This window comes from Homo sapiens, chromosome 14 (genome assembly GCF_000001405.40).
Source record: "Homo sapiens chromosome 14, GRCh38.p14 Primary Assembly".
Taxonomy (NCBI): Eukaryota; Metazoa; Chordata; class Mammalia; order Primates; family Hominidae; genus Homo; species Homo sapiens.
The window spans coordinates 81,373,210-81,395,341 of record NC_000014.9 but is presented as its reverse complement, the minus strand read 5'-3'; the positions used below and the strand labels follow the sequence as shown (position 1 = coordinate 81,395,341).

Sequence of the window (22,132 nt, the reverse complement as noted above, 5' to 3'; positions counted from 1 at the left end):
GAACCTGGGAGCGGAGGTTGCAGTAAGCTGAGGTCGCGCCACTGCACTCCAGGCTGGGTGACAGAGCTAGACTCTGTCTCCAAAAAATAAAAACAGAAATGAATGTGTGTTAAAGTGTGGACCACTGACCATGTCTAACCAAGTCACCAATAGGATTTGTTAAACATGGATATTCTCACACTTCAGAACTCTTGAATCCAAATCCTCATGGGTAGGGATGGTTGTTCATGAGAAATCTCTTATTTTGTGGCATTTCAATGGCCAGAAGCTGCACTGGGGAGCTTAGTAAAGCTGTAGGACTTGTTAGTCCCCATCCTGGTGACCTGGCTACTTCTTTATTGTGCACTGAAGTATGCCACAGGTGATTGGATAAGCTTTGGGACTGTATTAGTTTTCTATTTGCTGCTGTAACAAGTCACCACAAGTGTAGTGGCTTGAACAACATAAGTTTATCATCTTATGATTCTGTATTTCAGAAGTCCATCATGGGTGTCACCGGGTCAAAATCAAGGTGTTGGCAGGGCTGTGTTCCTTTCTGGAAGCTCTAGGGGAGAGTCTGTTTCCTGGCCCTTCCCAGCTTTCAGAGGCTGTCAACATTCCTTGGCATATGGCCCCTTCCTCTATCTCCAAAGCCAGGAATGTGGCATCTCTTTGTGCCTTTCTTCTGAAGTCACATCTTTCCCTGACATCTGCCTTTGTCTTCCATTAAGGACCTCTGTGGTTATGTTGGGCTCACCAGGCATTAAGGACCTCTGTGGTTACACTGGGCTCACCGGGATAATGTCCCCATCTCAAGGTCCTTAACATAATCACATCAGTAAAGTTCTTTTGCCATATAAAGTAACATATTCACAGGTTCTGGAAATCAAGATGTGGACATCTTGGGGTAGAATGGGAGGCATTCTGTCTACCACAGAGACCTACTAGCAAAAAGCAGGGTTGATATATTTTTCTGTTGGTGTGTTAAATGTTTTGCTAGTGTCACTTTTTAAGGCTGATTCCTTTGTTTTTCAGTGTGTTTTCAATACTAAAATGATTTTAAGAAAATATAAAACAATTCTGTAACAAACATTTATATTTTTACATAATAATTTGCACATTTATGTCTATTTTTTCATATTTGAACATCAGATTTCCTTTTTTTTTTGTTTGAGATGGAGTCTTGCTCTGTTGCCCAGGCTGGAGTGCAGTGGTGCAATCTCAGCTCACTGCAACCTCTGCCCCTGAGGTTCAAGCAATTCTCAGGTCTCAGCCTCCTGAGTAGCTGGGATTACAAGCACCCATCACCATGCCTGGCTAATTTTTGTATTTTTAGTAGAGACAGGATTTTGCCATGTTGGCCAGGCTGGTTTCGAACTCCTTGACCTCAGGTGATCCACCTGCCTTAGCCTCCCAAAGTGCTGGGATTACAGGCGTGAGCCACTATGCCCAGCCTAAACATCAGATTTCTGCATGAATTGTCATTGAGTCATGACTCTCAGTGCAGCGTGGAAGAAGTGACAGGTCCAGACAGGCTTCCCTTACTGAACACCTAACACTGAGAAGGCTCTGGGCTAAGTGTTGATGCATGTAGGGAAAAGTTACGGAACACTGGGCAGTGAATGAGCACAGAAATAATGTTCCTTCTGCTTAATATGATACATTTACTGCATACTTATTGTCTCAGTTTCTGTGCTCAGTGCCTTAGCTACTTCATATCATGTACTCCTTACAACAATTGTATGAGGAAGGTATTAATATTAATCCATATTACACATGGTGGAGGAGACTCAGCCAGAAGTGGGCTTTGGGAATTCAACCAAGATTGTGTGCTAGGAAATGGCAGGAGAGCTTCCGCACCAGGCTGACCGGCCCCAAGGTCTTGGAGCAGCCTTCGGATGCCCTGTGCTCTCCTTCCGTTTGCCTCACTCTTCCTGCTGCTGCTGCTGCTGCTGCTCTAGTATCCTCTGCTCCCTCATTACCCAGGAGGCAGTGGGGGCAAGGAATGGAAGGTAAGTGATGGGTGGGGTGCTCTTTCTCCACTTTGCTGCCCTAAAATGGCCGTGCCTTCAGGTCATGGATTATATTCATGCCATTCAGATTCTTTCACATTTTATCTTTAGCCTCAAAGATTTCCTGATTGCTCAAAACTATTTATATGACAGTCAATTTGCTCAACTCTTCACTGATTTTTCCAAAACTAATTTTGAGATTAGTCATAATTATGTTGCCCCCATCTGACTGAGGATCTTATCTTGTGACTGACAATGCTTTTGATATATTGTGAAAGCTTTACCCTTTAAGGCAGCAATTCACAGTCTGGCCCATAGACCTTGCTGTCTCCTGAGACCCTTTCAAGGCGTCTTTGGGGTTAAAATCATTTTCATTCTAATTCTAAGATGTTATTTGCCTTTTCACTGCATTGACATTTGCATTGATGGTTAAAAAATAACAGCAGATGAAACTTTTGGCCATTGTCTACTCACAGTAAAACAAAATGTATATTTCACCCAATAATATCCTTGATGAGGCAGTAAAAATTATTAATTTCTTAAAATTGTGATTCTTGAGTATGTCTTTTTAACATTCTCTGTGACAGATTGGGAAAAAATACATGAAGCACTTTTGCTCCATATCAAATTGTAATAATTGTCTTGAAAAAAAAGTTTTTAAAAAAATATTTAAGAATTCAGTTTAAAAATTAAAGTTATTTTAAAATTATTTTTTAAAATCACATAATGCAAAAAATTCTTAATGAACAAAATATCAGTACTTTAAAGACAAGATTCAATTAACACTTTCATGACTATGCTACACTTGGCCCACCTGGACCTGGTGTTGCAGGAATTTTCCTAAAGTTCAGCTAAAGATGGGGTCCTTGTCCATCCCACAGCCATGAAAATTCAGGCTCACAGATGGTTTGAAGGGTAAGTAAAGCAGGGCTTTATTGGGTGAAAAGGAAAAAAGAGGGGAAACAGGGACTCTCAGCGAGGCCAGAGTTCATCTAGAGCACTTCCGGACCGCGCCCAAATCCCAGGTTCCACACAGGAAGAGGAGGGGCCAGGCTCTTCCCTGCTGCAAGTGGCACAAACTTCCGCAGCTCCACCCCAGTGCACAGGCCAGTTGGAGTTTTTCTGGGAACCCCCTCCCCTCTGGCTGTCTCACTGGTTCTAATAAAGCTTTATTTACAGAGATAGTCAACCTGTGAGCTGTAGTTTGCTGCTTTGATTTTGAGTTGATATTTTTAACATATTGCCTTAAAATGTTACTTTGATTACTGAGTTTTTTGGCACCCTCTTAAATTTTACCTCCAAGGCAAGTGTGTCACTTGCCTTAGCCTAATCTCAGCCCTGCATTGTCCTAAGAATTTTAGATGTATTAATATTACTAGAGAATAAATCAAGAAATGACAGTGTTCAAATGCATGAAAGCATAATTTTGAAAACTGCTCAAGTATGAATAATTCCATCTGTTCATATGTGTGAAAATTTAACTCAACCCTGTGGAGATGGAGTTTTCTACCTTAGGAGGGTCCTGTAGGATGGGTTCCCAGCAGACTTGATGCCCAGTCTGTAGGCAAGAAGCAGAAATAAACCATGTGGAGGGCCAGCCCCACCTCAAGAAGTGTTTCTAACCTGGAAACCCAAGGAGCATAGGGGACGGTGCACAGCATTAGAGTGGTAAAGAAAATGGTTCAATTCCAAATTTTCTGCCAATACCCAACTTGACCCATCAATGAACCTAAACTGAATCAAAAGCTGCAGAGTACATTCCTATTACCCAAACTAACCTCTCCCACATAAGCTAATTCCCTCTTGGGTTTCCTCCCATGGATTGTGTTTAACAATAAGGATAGAGTAATTGGCAGAGCTAAGGCCAATTACACAGGAGAGACTAGGCGTTAGCCCCCCACTCCTGCCCCCACATAATGGATAATGTAGACATTCCCCAAGTTACACAGTCATTCCATTCAGGAGGCTGTTGTGCAGCTCAGATTTTAATTTGAATCCAAAATGTTTGAATGCATGTGCTGTATATTGCAATAATACCACATATGTAACTGCAGGCATTATGCAGAAATAACACAGATGTTTGCAGCAAGTAGAGACAGTGTGAGACTTGCTGCAATCACTGCTACCTGCTCTGTTCTTCCAGTAATACTAAGCTGAGTAATGGCTCCCAAAGACATTAGGTTGTCCTCCCTGGAACCTATAAATATTATCATATTTGGGAAAAGGGTCTTTGTAGATGAGAGTAAGGATTTTGAGATGGGGAGATAATTCTGGATTATCTGTGGGCCTTAACTGCAATCACATGCATCCTTATGAAAGTGGCAGAGGGCGATTTTGCTTACACAGAAGAGAAGGCACTGTGAAGATGAAACAGAAAGAAATTTGAAAATGCTGATCTTAAAGATTTTAGTGATGAAGCCACAGCCAAGGAATGCCGGCAGCCACCAGAAGCTGCAAGATACAAGAAACAGATGCTTCCTTAAAGCCTCTGCGGGGAGTGCAGTTCTGCTGACATCTTGATTTTAGCACAGTGATTCTCATCTCAGACTCTGGCTTCCAGAACTGTGAGAGAATAAATTACTGTTGTTTTGAGATACCAAGTTTGTGGTAATTTGTTACAGCAGCCATAGGAAACTAATGTACTAAGTCTGTAAAATCTTAAAATGGAACCCTTTGCATAAGGCTGAGAATGAGTCAGTCTGAATTAGGGGAGCATCTGTAAATCTGTAATGATGCAGGACTTTTTGTTTGTTTGTTTGTTTGTTTGTTTTTTGTTTTGTTTTTTGAGACGGAGTCTCGCTCTGTTGCCCAGGCTCTGGAGTGCAGTGGCGCGATCCCAGCTCACGATGCAGGGTATTTCTTAAGGAGATGTGTGCATGTCAGTGTGCTTTGTCCCTAAACCTTACAGCTCCTTATAATTTACTCATTGAGTCACCAGATATTTACTAAGCACTTCCTCTGTATAGTTCTGCTAGGTGTGGATATTCAAAGACATAGCGCAGTGCTCAGAATTGAGCAGAAATCCACTGGGCTTCTTCCTGGATCCTCTAGTAGCAAACCAGAGCCAACCTGTGCTGCTGTGATTACCATCTCTTGCGGTTGTCTTTCAACCACTACTTGTCTTTCTGTTTTTAAGTTTTTCTTTTTTTTTTTTTTTGAAATGGAGTCTCACTCTGTCACTCAGGCTGGAGTCCAGTGGCGCAATCTCAGCTCACTGGGTTCAAGTGATTCTCCTGCTTCAGCCCCCAAATAGCTGGGATTACGGCGTGTGCCATCACATCCAGCTAATTTTTGTATTTTTAGTAGAGATGGGTTTCATTATGTTGGCCAGGCTGGTCACAAACTCCTGACCTCAAATGATCGGCCCACCTCGGCCTCCCAAAGTGCTGGGATTACAGGCATGAGCCACCATGCCTGGCCTACGTTTTTCATTTCATACAGCTGAGAATTTGAAACTGGCTCTGAGGAAGCAAAGGAATAAGTGGATGCTGGGAGAATTACTTGTCTGAGAAGTTCATTTTATGACAGGTGCATCTATTGTCTCTTCCTGTGAAGGATGAAAATCAGAATTTAAAGCAACTTCCCTTGTTAATTATCGTTTACTTCTGGGGCTTCCCCACAGCTCTTACTCAGTTTTATCCAGTTTTCCTCACTTGGAGAAAGTAGGCACTACTGACCTAGGAGAAACTTTTGTCTAAATTGGCCACCTAGCTGTGGGCCAAGTAGTGGCCAGTTTGCTGGCGGCTAGGTGACCAGCTTAGACAAAATGGCCCTCTCGTGCTTTTTGTCTAAACTGACCACATAGAAATGATTTGCCCATCAATTTCTCATTTATCCACTCTAAAATGCTTTTCTTAGTTCATTAATTTCCATCAGTCAGATGTTAGATCTATTTTGGGCTATAGCTTCACTCATGTAGACTGAGCAAACTCTTTTTAGCATGGATAACGCAAGAATGAAATGGAATTAGGGCAAGAGAGGTGTTTGGTGTGCTGTATTTAAATGCAAAAATTTGGAATCTTTGGTGAAGTTTGGAGTATGTAGGTGTGTCTCTGTGCGTGCAAGAAAAAAATTTCAGCCAGGAAAAAAAGGAACAGTGGAAACTAATTTTTGGCTTTAGCCCTTTTCCCAATCACATCAGCATCACTGGAGCAAACTGACTCTTTCCTATATATAATGTATAGTTGCAGTGTTTAATTTCTTCCCATTTTACTCTTCATATTCCATTTACTTCTATTAAGAGCCCATACTTTCTGATCGGATGTCTTCATGTTGGGAGAGATGTAAAAATGTTTATCTTGGTACCTGTCTTGTGCAACCCCTCTGTGGATGTTGTTTTGTGAGAAGGTCGTAAGAGAAAAAGGTGGTGGGAGGAGAAGGAGGAGGAGAAGTAGAACTGATCAGTGTTCTTCCTAGTTTTAATTTCTGGAAGAAAAAGTGAAACCTTACTTAGCCAGCTGTTTTATACCTGAACATCCTGGCTTGTAGAGAGAAGTTGGGAAAGAGACTAGCACACACACATAACACACACAGAGGAAGTAGCGAGGTTATCCGGGATATTCCTTTTCCATCCCCCAATTCCCTTTCTTCCACTCTTTGAAGTTTTTCTGGCAGATGAAGAGTAAAAATCAAAAGAATACATCTTTTAAACTGTGCCACCTAAGAATAAAGCCAAGCGAGCATTGGACTTCAGCCTGGAATTGGAATGTACTATTTGCCCTAATTAAAATGCAACAAGGCTGTAGGCACAGTGGAGTTAGGGACAAAGAGACTGTCATTAATGGTACGTCTCTTATTTTTGATGGTATTTAAATGGCTAGAAGCTGCACTGAGAACCTTAGAGAAGCCAGGGAGTTGTTAGTCCCCACCCTAGTGACCTGGCTGCTACTTATTTTATTGTGCACTGAAGCATACCAAGGTTGATTGGAAAACCAGGAGCAACAGCTGGTAGGAAAAACAACTCCAGAAATGCTTAAATCATCAAGGCAACAACTTTCTCTTGGACTTTAATTAGGGCAGGGTTTGAAGTGAATAAGTGCCATCACGGTTGGCCAGGGAAAAAAGGAGATATACAGTCTCCCTTAGAAACATATGATTAAAATTGGTCAGGTGCGGTGGCTCACGCCTGTAATCCCAGCACTTTGGGAGGCCAAGGCAGGCGGATCACAAGGTCAGGAGTTTGAGACCAGCCTGGCCAACATGGTGAAACGCCATCTCTACTAAAAATACAAAAATTAGCTGGGTGTGGTGGTGGGTGCCTGTAGTCTCAGCTACTTGGGAGGCTGAGGCAGGAGAATCGCTTGAACCTGGGAGGCGGAGGTTGCAGTGAGCCAAGATTGTGCCACTGCACTCCAGCCTGGGTGACAGAGTGAGACTCCATCTCAAAAAAAAAAAAAAAAAAGAAAAGAAATAAAAATATGATTAAAATAAAATGAGAGTGACAAAAGCCTTTTTTTTTTGAGACTGAGTCTCACTCTTGTCACCCAGGCTGGAGTGCAGTGGTGTGATCTCAGCTCACTGCAACCTCCGCTTCTGGGTTGAAGTGATTCTCCTGCCTCAGCGTCCTGAGTTACTGGGACTACAGGCACCCGCCACCATGCCTGGCTAATTTTTGTATTTTTAGTAGAGATGGGTTTTACCATGTTGGCCAGACTGGTCTTGAACTCCTGACCTCTGGTGGGTGATCCACCCACCTCAGCCTCCCAAAATGCTGGGATTACAGGCGTGAGCCACCACGCCTGGCCTGACAAAAGCCTTTGTATAACCATATATATGGAAAAAGAGCATCAGTTCTTCAGACCTGAGTTTACTAGGAATGAAGAAGCATATGGAATCATACCCCTTGAATCTTTTATGAAAATTATGTTCAACATTAAAACCCTTGAAATTTGAGGGAGGCCAAATGAGGGATTCATACCTCTTTGACTTCATAAGACCCATTTGAGTCGGGCCATGTTGATAAGTGAGCTCTTTAGAAGATTTTTATTAGAACCTTTAATGTCAAATACTTAAATTAGCCACAAGAACACTGTTCACATCTCCCATTTGAGGTTGCCATATGATTTAAGGTTGTATGGTGAAAAATGTCAACAAATTTAACTGAAAACTCATTTATTGAACTCTGAACTAGATGCATAGATATTCTACAAAACCATGAGCAGAACCAGCATGTTTTAAAAAAAAAAAACAACCTTCTGGTGTTAAATCAAAATGAAATTTTGTATAGTTCTCTAAAGAAATTTTTTTGAAAATGAACCTAAACCCATCTCATGTCTTATTCACGTTGAGTCCTTTAGCCAATAGTGTTCCTGACTATCTCTAGTTACAAAAAGTTTGATTAACATATAAGGCTTCCTCTGGCTTTAAAATTCCACCAGGTACCGGGAAGAATATAGCAGTCAGCCCATCTATCATCCAAAATCTTTATACTGTTCTCTCAAAGCCAAGGCTGATTTTAAGTACGTACATTTTACAAGTGTGGGTGTGTTTAGAACATGTCTGCAAATGCCTGCAGACAAATGGACTAAAAGAGCAAAGTTCATCCTTAAAATTTAAAAAGAAAAAAAAATTAAGGCACTATTGTCAGCATGAAGCTTCCTGTTCACTCATATGCTGACCTTCCTCCAGGGACATGGTAATTTTTCTGCAAGGCCAGGGCTGAATTGGACCCATTATGCAGATACTGCAGGATGTGCATAATTACAAACAACAACAAAAAAACCCTTTCATTTCCGGAACTTTTGTCCCATAGCCCAAGCAAAACACTAGTATTCCCTTATGCTTCAAACGTCTTCCCTAAAAGCTTGGGCTAAGGCCTTCCCATTGTGTCTGGGGAAACTAATTATTTGGGACCAGAGAAAGAGCCACTTGTTTGGGGGAGGATCAGAGATGATGTCAGCCATTTAAGAGGGAGGCAGGGGTGACAGCTGAGAGGCTTCATCCTGAAGAAGACTAGCCCCGCCGTTAATTTCTATTATGTTGTTCATTCTGGCTAATGGGGGTAGTGAGTGGTGGGTGGGGGTGGAATAAGATATCCCAACCCTTTTGGTGAATATGTGGACAAGGCCCTACTGCATTTTGCATGCATATGTAATTCCCCCTGCAACAGAAGAGGCTTTATTTTTTTTAATACCTTCAATTGTTCTTCTGTGCTTCTAAATGTAGTTAATGACCTTTGTGGAGTCCGTCTCAGAGGATGCTGTACCCAGGAATAAATTTCAGCAGAGCCTTTCCTTCTCAGGGCTGATGCCGTCTCTGATCCTCTCCCCTGGGCTCCGTCTGCTGTAATTGCACTGCCTCTCTCGCCGTTCCAGGCCAGTTCACTGCTGCCCTGGCTGTTCCCTCTGCCCTGAGAGCTTTTCCTCCACATTTTCACTCCAAACTCTGCTCAAGCATCGCCTCTGCAGCGGGGGGCCAGAACCCTCCACCTCCACTCTCTAGCTTTTTTCTGCTTCAAATGTCTTCACAGCCCATGCCTCTACCTGCAATTGGGTCAAATATGCATTAGTTTACTTGTTATTATCTCTCTTCTCCATAAAGGGAAAGACTTTGTCTATCTAATTTATTCTTTATTCCAGAATATGGTTTGAGGAACTTAGTAGGTGCCCACCTAGGATTTGCTGGACTAGTGAAAGGAGAGAGAAAAGATGGACATGAAACCTTCTGCAGAATGACTAAGTGACTGACTCCCATTTGTGGGGCTAATGAGCTGTTAGGTAGAACTTGAAGGATGGCGCCCTCAGTGAAGTCAGCTTGTTGTTTTTTAAACAAGATAGGCAAGGAAACTGGCCTCTTACCCATCCTGTCCCCTTCTTTTCAGCTATTTTCATAGGGTTATGATTTCCCATTGTTCCACACACATATGTATGTGCATACATGAGTGTATACACACCATGGACATATACATAGATACATACACACATACATACATACACATACACAACTACACCTATATTTTTTTCCTGAGGCCTGCTTTAAAAAGCACATTTAAAAGCAATAGTTTTGTTGTATTTAAAAGTGTCATCATGCCACGGAGGATGGTGAAGTGTTCTTAAAAATAACTCTTTCCAGTATCTAAAAGGAAACAGAATATTTTATTAAAACTCCAATATTCTCCTCTTGCAGAGAATGTGCAAGCTCACCCAGAGAGGCCATGTGGCCTAGCTCACCCTTGGTGTGGGATACAAAACACAATAAACCACCCAAGCATGCATCAATTAACTAGTTCATTCATGCAGAAAAAAATGTAGGTGCTGGGAATACAGTTATGGGAGAGCTGGACACAGTCCCTGCTCTCCCCACGTTGAAGTTGCCTAACAGTTGGGCAATCTGTTACTAATGGAGCTTTTGGGGAGTGAACAAGAGCTCCTCTGAGCTAGTCCTGGGAGCAGTAGCTGCTTCATACTGCCAGCTATGAAAAAGCAGAGGAGCCACAGATAAAAGAATGGAGTTAGATCTATTTTCTGTGCATGGATGGGCACATTTACACATCAAAAAAATCCTATAACTCTGGTGATTAAACATCAAAATATAAAGGACATGACATCAAAATATATGTATTTAAAATTTTAATCTACCCAGGATCCCGAAGGACAAGAAGAAAGAAAAATACTGTATTAGCTGACAACTTGCAGATTTATTATTCACATAATCCATGTTATTTTGATTTCCCGCTTTATGCTCACGTTCAAGTCATGTTCAAACACTGTGGATACAGCCAAATACTCGTGCCCCATGGAGCCCACATTCTGCGGGGGGACAGGGAGGGGGGTTCATACCAGAAACACACTAAAGAAGTAAATATAAGTGTGTTAGGGGCTGGGCGCGATGGCTTACGCCTGTAATCCCACCACTTTGGTAGGCTGAGGCGGGCAGATCACTTGAGGTCAGGAGTTTGAGACCAGCCTGGCCAACATAGTGAAACCCTGTCTCTACTAAAAATACAAAAATTAGCCGGGCGCCTGTAATCCCAGTTACTCGAGAGGCTGAGGAAGGAGAATTGCTTCAACTGGGGAAGCAGAGGTTGCAGTGAGTTGAGATTGTGCCACTACACTCCAGCCTAGGCAACAGAACAAGACTGTGTCTCCAAAAAATAAAATAAATAAATAAATAAATAAAAATAATACAGTAAGTGTGTTAGGTAACAAACTGGGAAGGAGAGAAAAATGAGGCAAAACAAGGGACTATGGTGAGGGGGATGTGAAATTTTCCATAAGGCCAGGGAGTGACTGTTTGAGAGGTAAATGTGAGTGAAGACCTGGGGGAAATGGGGCAGCAAGCCTTGCAGAAAGTAGGGAGGAGTCTTCCATGTGGAAGGAACAGCAAGTGAATAGCCCTTGAGGGGCACCTGTGCTCTTGGTGTGTGACCGGAGTAGAGTGAATGTGGAGAGAAGACAAGGAGGTGAGGCAGAAACGTTACAGAGACTCAGACACACAGGTCCTTGGCAGACATGTTGAGGACTTTGATTTTTTATTGTGGGTGAGATGGAAAGCTAATGGAGGGTTTTGAACTGAGGTGTGGCCTGATCCAGCTTGAGTTTCAACAGTAATTCTGTTAAAACTGTGTGGCAGCTATGGTGTAGCGGTTGAGAGTGGTGTATCTGAGAATAGACTGGGAGGAGAGGACAGAGGTGGAGGCAAGGAGACCAGGTAGGAGGCCACTGTATCCATCCAGGCAAGAGAGGATTGTGGCTTGCAGCAGGGTGGTAGCTTGGAGAAGGCAGGAAGTGATTGGATTCCAGATGTATTTTGAAGGTAGGACTAGCAAAAATTGTGATGGAGCAACTGTGAGAAGAATCAAGGATGACTTGATGGTTTTGTTCTGAGCAGTTGAAAGGATGCAGGGGCTGGTTTGGAGGGAATAACAGGAGCTTAGTTTTGGACATGTAAAGTTAGAGACCCAGATGGAGATGTCAAGTCGATTTGGACAAAAATATATGTTTGAGAATAATAACCATCACCACCTAACCCATGTTGAGTACTCTTTTTGTGCCAAGCACTTTTGCTAGTGCCTCATCAGTATTAACCTAATCCCCTTAGGAGGTTTGTACTCTCTTCAGCTCCATTTTACAGGTGAGAAAAAGGAGGAACAAATGGATTTGAGCAACTTGCTCCAGGCTACAGGGCTGGATTTGGTATGCAAACCAGGCAGTCTGGATCCAGGGTCCCTGATCTTAACCTCATAGGAAAGGAGAAGAAGCAGATATTGATCTTTCCTTCACTTTATTCCTTCAAGCTGGATGGATGTGGCTTGAAATATGATGGCAGCATCCTGTTTTTACCTGGCTCAGACATCAAAGGTCTGGCCCCTGGGAGCAGAGTCAGCTCCAAGCCCAGTACTTTCTTTCAGCTAAGCTTGTGGCCTGAGGACATTCAACTAAGAACCTGAATAAAATAACTTATCGGAGATTTCTAAGCCGAAAAATAAACAAAGTGTATTAGAGCGAATGAGAACAGTTTGTGAGAGGCAGAAGCTTTGCTTCTCCCAAATGCACTCTTCCTAGTTTCTCTTTCAAGAGAAACGTTGGCATTTTATCTCACAAATGTAAGGAGCCGATGTGCAAATACCATTAAGTGAAATAGCTTTCTTACTGAGTAATCTGTCTTTTTTTGATATGTGGTTTTAATAAGTTTTATTACCTATTGAATAAATACAAAAGAACATTTAAGATTGTGTATTAGATTATAAAGAACAGCAGTACAACCCATCACCCAGTTTAATAAATGGAATATTGTCATCGCCGGAGGCCCTGCGTGTTTCCCTACTGATCACACCCTCCTCCCTCATCACATCCCCTTCCCTCCCCTCTGTATCACCACCTTCTGAGTTTCATGATGATAACTACCTTACTTTTCTTGACAGTTTTACTACCTACACATGCATCAAGAATGATAATTTAGCCTGGTTTTGAACTTTATATATATGGAATAATACTGTATTACTCTGTGGCTTACTCCTTTAATACATTTTTTGTGGGAATTGTCCATGTCAAAAACGAAAAGAACTTGTAGCTATGGTTCTTTTAGTTTTTATTACTCTGTGTTCCATTATAGTAATATGCTACAATCCATTTATCCATTCTGTTTTTGATGGACATTTGGATTGTTTCTTTTCTTTTCTTTTCTTTTTTTTTGAGACAGAGTCTTGCTCTGTCGCCCTGGCTGGAATGCAGTGGCACGATCTCAGCTCACTACAACGTCCGCCTCCCGGATTCAAGCGATTCTCCTGCCTCAGCCTTCTGAGTAGCTGGGATTACAGGTGCCTGCCACCACACCTGGCTAATTTTTTGTGTTTTTAGTAGAGATGGGGTTTCACTGTGTTGGCCAGGCTGGTCGCAAACTCCTGACCTCGTAATCCGCCTGTGTCAGCCTCCCAAAGTGCTGGGATTACAGGTGTGAGCCACCGTGCCCGGCCCATTTGGGTTGTTTCTAAGATGATAATGCACTTCCATGAGCATTATTTTTGTCTTTCTATGAACATTTTTAACGTGTATCCTGGTGAACATGTGCAGGTGGTTCTCTTGTATAAAAAAGTAGGATGGGAATTGCTGTGCTTTAGGATGTGTTCATATTCAGCTTAATCAGATAACAACAAGCCATTTTCTAAAGTGGTTTCTAGTTACTATCCTACCAGCTGTACATGAAAGACACTGTGGCTCCATTTCCTCAGCTGCACTTAGGATTGTCATATTTTTCTATTTTTGTGATCAGGGAAGTGGAGAAAGAAAGGGGGAAGGGTAACAGGATCTTAATATATCATGTGATTTAAATTGCATTTCCTAGATTACTAACAAGGTTGAGAGCATCCTTTTTTGGTGCCATTTGGATTTTTCTTTCATGAAATCCCTGTTCAGCTATATTCCTGTTGGTGTCTCTGCCTTTTTCTTGCTGATTTCTGGGAGTTCCTGGTGCATTCAATGTGTGGCACATATTATCTCCTATCCTGTGAATGGTCTTTTCATTCTCCTTATGTCTTTTGGCAAAAATAAGTTATTTATTTTAATGATACAGTTTTTTTCAATTTCTCTTTTATTATTAGTGCTTTCTGTGTCTTGGTAAAGAAAATATTTCTCTACTCCAAAGTCATGAATGCATTTGGCTATATTGTCTTCTAAAATGTTTCTTATATAGCCTTCACACTTTGACATTCAATCTAGCTAGAATTGATTTTTCTGTACAGTTTGAAGTACAAGTCTAGTTTCACTTTTTCATGTAGATATCCAGTTTTTCTAATACAATGTTTTATTGTTGTTTATTTTAACATGAATACTTATAAATATATTACTCAAAACTCAGCTTCATTCATTCTAAATAGTATGATTCTGCTTGTTAATATGGGTGAAAGCCATGCTATAATTTTTTTTTCTTTCCAACATTTATTTTAGATTCAAGGGGTACATGTGCAGGTTTGTTACCTGAGTAAATTGCCTGTCATGGGGGTTTGGTCTACAGATAATTTTTCACCCAGGTAATCAGCATAATACCCAATAGGTAGTTTTTCAATCCTCACTCTCCTCCCACCCTCCACCCTCAAGTGGGCCCCAGGGTCTGTTGTTTTCTTCTTTATTTCTGTGTGTACTTAGTGTTTAGCTCCCATTTACAAGTGAGAACATGTGGTATTTGGTTTTCTGTTCCTGGGTTAATTTGTTTAGGATAATGACCTCCAGCTCCATCCATGTTGCTGCAAAGGACATGATCTCATTTTTTTTATGGCTGCGTAGTATTCCATCGTGTATATGTTCCACATTTTCTTTATCCAGTCCGCCATTGATGAGCATCTGGGTTGATTCTACATCTTTGGTATTGTGAATAGTGCTGCAAGGAACATATGTGTGCATGTGTTGTTATTCCTTTGGGTATATACACAGTAATGGGATTGCTAGGTCAAATGGTGGTTCTGTTTTAAGTTCTTTGAGAAATCTTCAGACTGCTTTCCACAGTGGCTGAGTTAATTTACATTCCCACCAGCAGTGTGTAAGCATTCTCTTTTCTCTGCAACCTCAACAGCATCTATTATTTTTTGACTTTTTGATAATAGCCATTCTGACTGGGGTGAGATGGTATCTCATTGTGGTTTTGATTTGCATTCCCCTAATGATTAGTGATATTGAGCATTTTTTCATATGCTTGTTTGCCGTATGTTTATCTTCTTTTGAGAAGTGTCTGTTCATGGCCTTTGCCCATTTTAATGGGGTTGTTTGTTTTTTGCTTGTTGATTTAAGTTTCTTATAGATTCTTGACATTAGACCTTTGTCAGATGCATAGTTTGCAAATATTTTTCCCACTTTGTAGATTGTCTGTTTACTCCGTTGATAGTTTCTTTTGTTGTGCAGAAGCTCTTTAGTTTAATTAGGTCCCACTTCTCAATTTTTGTTTTTACTGAAATTGCTTTTGGAATCTTTGTCATGAAGTTTTTGCTAGGGCCAATGTCCAGAATGGTATTCCCTACATTTTCTTCTAGGGTTTTTATAGTTTCATGTTTTACATTTAAGCCTTTAATCCATCTTGAGTTATTTTTTATACATAGTGAGAGGTAGGAGTCCACTTTCAATCTTCTGCAAATGGCTAGGCAGTTTTCTCAACACCATTTATTGAATAGAAAGTCTTTTCCCCATTGCTTGTTATTGTTGGCTTTGTAGAAGATCAGATGGTTGTAGGTGTGCAGCTTTATTCTGGGTTCTCTAACCTATTTCATTGGTCTGTGTATCTGTTTTTATACCATACCATGCAGTTTTAATTATTGTAGCCTGTGGTGTAGTTTGAAAAGGGTAGTGTGATGTCTCTAGCTGTGTTCTTCTTGCTTAGGATTGTTTTGCCATGCTAGAATTTTAATTGACACTGAAGTAAATTTATAAACCAGTTTGGGGAGAATTAACATCTTTACAACGTTAAATCTTTCAATCTCTAAATGTTTATCTATTTATCTCTATCTCCATATATATATCTCCATATATATCTTTCTCCATTTATTTAATCTTCTTTATTGTCTGTTAATAAACTTTAGAAATACTTCCTCTAAGGCTTAGCACATTTTTTGTTAGGTTTGATACTACATATGCTTCATACTTATTGTTGCTATTACAAATACTGTCTTGCTTTAAATTTCATTTTCTAAATATTTCTTGCTGGCTTTCAGAAACACAATTCACTTTTATATGTTGATTTTTTAATTAACAAGCATACCTTGCTAACATTATTAATTTGCTAACTTATTGGTAAAGTCTTTTGGTTATTTTACATATACAAAAATATCATCTGCAAATAATGACAGTTATGTTTCTTTTACTTCTTTTCACTTCCTGCCTTACTGTGCAGGCTCTGATCATAAATATGATGTTGAACAGAAGAGAGGATAATGAACATCACCATCTTGATCAGAATCTCCAAGGGTTAATTAAGCTTTGGGGGGTATTTCTGTTAGGTTTAGGGAGTCCTTCTGTTTCTAATTTGCTAAAAATTACTACCATGAATAAAGACTAAAATTTATTTTTAGTGCTTTTTCTATACTATGATGGTAAGATTTTTCTCTTTTAATATGTTATTGCAGTGAATTACATTAATTGATTTTCTAATGTTAACCCATGTATTCTCAACAGGGTGATATTATCCCCAAGGGGGCTAAAAATAGTTCTTGAGTAGGGCAAATAAATTGTAATTTTTGTTGTATACAGAATAGCTATAATATATATATACAGTACAAAAGTAAACAAAATATATGTGTAGCATTAAAATTTCAAAAACTTTTACTTTGCAAAAACTCTGTGAAAAGGATGAAAAGACAAGCTACAGACTGGGAGAAAATATTTTCAAACCACAGCCAACAAAGGACTAGTATCAGGCCAGGCACAGTGGCTCATGCTTGTAATCCCAGCACTTTGGGAGGCCAAGGCAGGTGGATCACTTGAGCCCAGGAGTTTGAGACCAGCCCGGGAAACATAGTGAAACCCCATCTCTATGAAAATATGAAAAACTAACTAGGCATAGTGGTGTGCACCTGTAGTTCCAGCTACTCTGGAGGTTGAGGTGGGTGGATCGCTTGAACCTGGGAGGTGGAAGTTACAGTGAGCTGAGATGGCATCACTCCACTCCAACCTGGACAACAGAGTGAAACACTGTCTCAGAATAAAAACAAAAGGACTAGTATCTAGAATATATAGAAAAATCTCAAAACCCAACAGTAAAAAGTTCCCATTAAAAAAATGGGCTAGGCTGGGTGTGGTGGCTCATGCCTGTAATCCCAGCACTTTGGGAGGCCAAGGTGGGCTGTCACTTGAGGTCGAGAGTTTGAGACCAGCCTGACCAACATGGTGAAACTCCGTCTCTACTAAAAATACAAAATTAGCCAGGCGTGGTGGTACATGCTTGTAATCCCAGCTACTTGGGAGGCTGAGGCAGGAGAATTGCTTGAACCCAGGAAGTGGAGGTTGTGGTGAGCTGAGATCATGCCATTGCACTCCAGCCTGGGCAACAAGAGCAAAACTCCATCTTCCAAAAAAAAAAACAAAAAAATGAGCTAAAGAAATAAACATATGTTTCACCAAAGAGAATGTATCGAGATAGTAAGTAATCACATGAAAAGATATTCAATATCATTATCCATTAGGGAAATACAAATTAAAATGATCCTTTCACTGCACATCTATTAGAATAACTGAAATAAGAAGTAATGGTAAGACTAAATGCTAGTGAGGATGCCGAGAGATTGGATCATTCATGCATTGCTGGTGGGAATATAAAATGGTACAACCACTTTGGAAAACAGTTTGGTGGTTTCTTATAAAACTAAACGTGCAATTACCGTATGACCCAGCAATTGCACTCTTGGACTTTATCCCAGAGAAATGGAAACTTACGTTCATACAAAAACCTGTACACAAATGTTTATAGCAGCTTTATCCATAATAGCTAAGAACCAAAAACAGCCTAGATGTCCTTTGATGGAGAAAGAAGGAAACTAACTGATATATGTATATCATGGAATACTACTCAGCAATAAAAAGGAATGAACTACTGGTACATGCAACAACTCAGATGAAGCTCAAAGGCATTATGCTGAGTAATAAAAGCCAGTCCTAAAAAGTTGTATAATGCATGATTCCATTTATATTGCATTCTTGGAATGACAAAATTATAGAAATGAAAAACAGATTAGTGGTTGTCAAAGGTTAGGAACAGAGTATGGAGATGGAGGCAAGGTAGGAGGGAAATGGGCATGCTTATGAAAGTGCAGCAGGAAAGATCCTTGCAGTGATGGAACTGTTCTGTATCTTGACTGTGGTGGATACATGTACCTACACATTGATAACATTGCATAGAACTAGATACACACACACCCCCACGTACATGTAAAACTGGGGAAATATGAATAAGATTGGTGGATTGTATTAATGTCAATTTTCTGATTGTAATATTCTATTAGAGGACGGGAATTCAAGAGAGAGTGATTAGGGGAAAAAATGTACAAGAAGTTTCCTTAGGGGGACAATAATGAGAAAAAGGTTGAGAAACACTGTGTTAAACCAACCTTGTATAAATTGGATAACTCAATTTAGTCATTATATAATTCTCCTTTCCATAGATCACTAAATTCTCTTTGATAATTTGTTTGGGATCCTTTTACCTATGTCCATGATTGAGATTATTTTGTAATTCTCCTTTTAGAGACTTTACATATAAATTGGGTATATATTGTCAGGTTTTGGTGTCTAACCTTACAAATGCTAACCTTATAAAATGAGTAGATGAGTGGCCTTTCTTCTTGTGTACTCTGGAGTAGTTAGTGGAAGATTAAAATTTTTTCTTTTTCCTTTAACGTTTGATAGAACTTTTCAGTAAAAGCACCTGGCCTGACATTTTTCTGGTGGGAAGGTTTTAAGTCTTGGTTCACTTTATTTCAAGGTTATTGGACAAGTCAGGTTTTTAACCTTCTTCTTGAATCAGTTTTGAAAAGTTATATTTTGCTAGGACTTCTATAGTTTTATCCGTATTTATGTATTGGTATAAAGACATTTATTATTTCCCTTCATTGCCTTCTGAATATAGTATTTGTAATTGTGTACACTTTTCATTCCTACTGTTATTTGCACTCTTTTTAATTCTATTAGTCTTCTCTAAGAACATTTTATCTGTGTATTTTAAAATTTTTTAAATAATTTATGATTTTATATTTATTATTTCCTTTTTCTAACATTCTGTGATTTATTTTGCTCTACTTTTGTATCTTAATAAATTGGGAGCTTACTGTATGAAGTTTCATTTGTCTTCTAATATAAGCTGACAATACTGCTTACATATATTCTTAAAATTTTCACATATAGTATTTTCATTATTGCTTGATTCAAAATATTTCCTAATATTTATTGATATTTCTTCTTTGGCCAGTGAATTATTTAGAAGTATGTTTCTTAATTTTTAAATTTTTCAAATTGTTTTTTATCTAGTATAGACAACTAGATACTAGTTAACCAGACAACTAGTTAGATAACTAGATACTTAATTGTATCATAACCAGTATTTGTGGTCTGTATACCAATTTTTTGAAATTTGTTCCAGCTTGCTTCATGTCAAGTGATGGCATGTTATCACTTATCATAAAAATTCTTGGTGTTATTATAAAAAATATGCATTCTTCACCGGTTGAGTGTAATGTTCTATGATCATTAGATCAGCGTGGTCATTTTGTTGTTTAAAGCTTCTGTTTGCTTGCTGATATTTTTGCTTGCTTGATATATCAATAACTGAGAGGTGTATTTTAACATCTTCCATTATGATGATGGACATTTCTTACTTTCTTACAGTTCTGTCAATTTTTGCATTAATAATTTTGAGGCTATGTTATTAAATATATCCAAGTTTAGGATTATATATTTCTGATGAATTGTACTTTTTATCATTTTGTTGTAAAGTCTATCCATAATCTATAACTATATCAACTTTCTTTTCATTAATATTTTATCTTATATGGCTTTCCCATCCCTTTACTTTCATCATTGATAATCCTTTGTATTTTAGATATATTTTTTGTGCATACCATGTTAAATTTCATTTGTTAATTCAACCTGTCAGTCTTTTTGTCTTGAATGCTTAGTCCATTTATGTTTATTTTTAAGTACTGATATAGTTTTATTTCTAACCTCTTACATTCCTTTTATTTCACCTTTCTTTCCTCCTTTAAGGATATTTATAGTTTTTGTTTGTCTGAATTGTCTTTATTTTTTCCCTGTTCTGTGAAGATATTTCACTGGGTATGTAATTCTAACTTCATAGTTATTTTTCTGTCTATACTTTGAAGTGCACATTGGCTTCTCCTGCTCTGGAAAGAGGTGGTAGTCAGTCTAAACATTCTTCGTTTGAAGGTAATGTGTATTTTCTCTTTGATGGCTGTTAAGATCTTCTCTTTGTTTTTGGTCTTATGTATTTTTGGTGTCTATTTGTAGATTTATTTTTAGTTACCCTGCTTGAGATATCTTGGAATTTCTAATCTGACAAGTAAAATCTTTCATAAATTCTAGGGAATTTTCAACCAGTATTTTTTCAAATATTGCCCCTCTACCATTTTCTTTCTCCTCTCCTTAGGAACTCATATTAGATATCTATGAGACTGTCTCACGCTGCCCTCCGTGTGTCTTCATCTCTCTTTCATATTTTCATCTTTTTGTCTATGTTATCCATTCAATTTTGTATTTACAGTAGCATATTTTTCTTCTCTGGAAGTTTATTTAGTTCTTTTTCAATTGTACATGCTCCTTTTTCATATTTTTAATTTCTTTTCTTATTTCCTTAAACAGATTAAACAGTTGTATTTTTTGCTCAACAATTCTAGTGTCTGAAAGTTCTTTGCAGATCTCATTCTGCCTGTTCACCCCACCCACCCACACACTTTGCTGGTTCTTGTTCATGGTAACTTGATTTCTTATGCATTTTGTGATTTATTTATTTATTATTTATTATTTTTTCTGCCATGTGCACATCAACTTAGGAACATTCTGTCTGAGGAGGCTGGTTTGAAGGTATCTTCCTTCAGAAGGGATTATTGGCCGGGCGTGGTGGCTCACGCCTGTAATCCTAACACTTTGGGAGGCAGAGGTGGGCAGATGGATCACTTGAGGTCAGGAATTCAAGACCAGCCTGGCCAACATGGTGAAACCCATCTCTACTAAAAATAAAAAAAAAAAATCGGCCGGGCATGGTGGCGGGAGCCTGCAGTCCCAGCTACTTGGGAGGCTAAAGCATGAGAATCACTTGAGCCCGGGAGGTGGAGATTGCAGTGAGCTGGGATTGCACCACTACACTCCAGCCTGGGCAGCAAAGCGAGAGTCTGTCTCAAAAAAAAAAAAAAAAAAAAAAAAAAAAAGGCATTATTATAGTATTTGCTTTTCCTAGATACATGAGGCTACTAACCTGGAAGTACTTAAACTAGTCTCAACTTGGAGGTTTTTCAGACCACACAAGTAGTTTTAGCTGTACACCCCTATGTGAAAAAATTTGTGGTTATTAATTCTCAGGAGATATTTTTTCCTCTACTCTTCATGCAATCCTAAGGCAGACAATTTTCTTTCCTATCTTCAGCTAAGGGTGGAGGTTATTTCTAACTTACCCTTTAAGACTTTTAGGAATTCTCACTTTATGCGTCAGCTCTTCTGTTCCCCATCTTCGGTTGGCCCTAGGTTCTTTATTGTTTGCCTTCTTCATAAGAGATTTGGAAAACTCAAGAGTCTGGTTTGTTCAAAATCTTGAGAGTGAAAATCAGCTTGTGTCCTCTGTTTACTCTTTTGGGGTTGCAGCTTTCACTCGGCCTCTGATGATTCTTTACTTTGTTGCTCACCGTGTGATGCATTTTAAATAATGTTATTACATTTTACAAATATTTTAATTGTATTTCCATAGTAGTTTAAAGTATCTTAACCACCATACTATAGGAAATGGCATCATATAGCAAGCTTTTATAAATTTGGCTTTGCTTTTTACTTTTGGTTGGTTTATAAAAAATTTTTATCTTTTCTTCTTTTTTAGTATTTTAATTTTTTTCTATGTTTGGGGTGGGGGTTATAGATACCAGTCCAATTTTAATATTCTGTATTTAGTATAGACTGTTATGGAATGATTTGTGGTGCTTCTGTTGATATAACCAACAAATATTTGTT

General features: G+C 39.2%; 1 protein-coding gene across 15 annotated transcripts in view, besides 1 other annotated feature; it reads left to right on the top strand.

Annotated features, from left to right (window-relative positions):
* The window catches only part of STON2 (stonin 2), a 175,814-nt gene that overhangs the window by 41,124 nt on the left and 112,558 nt on the right, over window positions 1–22,132 (top strand). The gene's annotated exons all lie outside the window — the stretch shown is intronic.
* Window positions 8,859–9,359: an enhancer, noted in NCBI's record as "H3K4me1 hESC enhancer chr14:81852327-81852827 (GRCh37/hg19 assembly coordinates)". NCBI's record gives its function as "activates a minimal SCP1, AML or CMV promoter by ChIP-STARR-seq in primed H9 embryonic stem cells {active_cell/tissue: H9 hESC(primed)}" and the evidence as "EXISTENCE:reporter gene assay evidence [ECO:0000049][PMID:30033119]".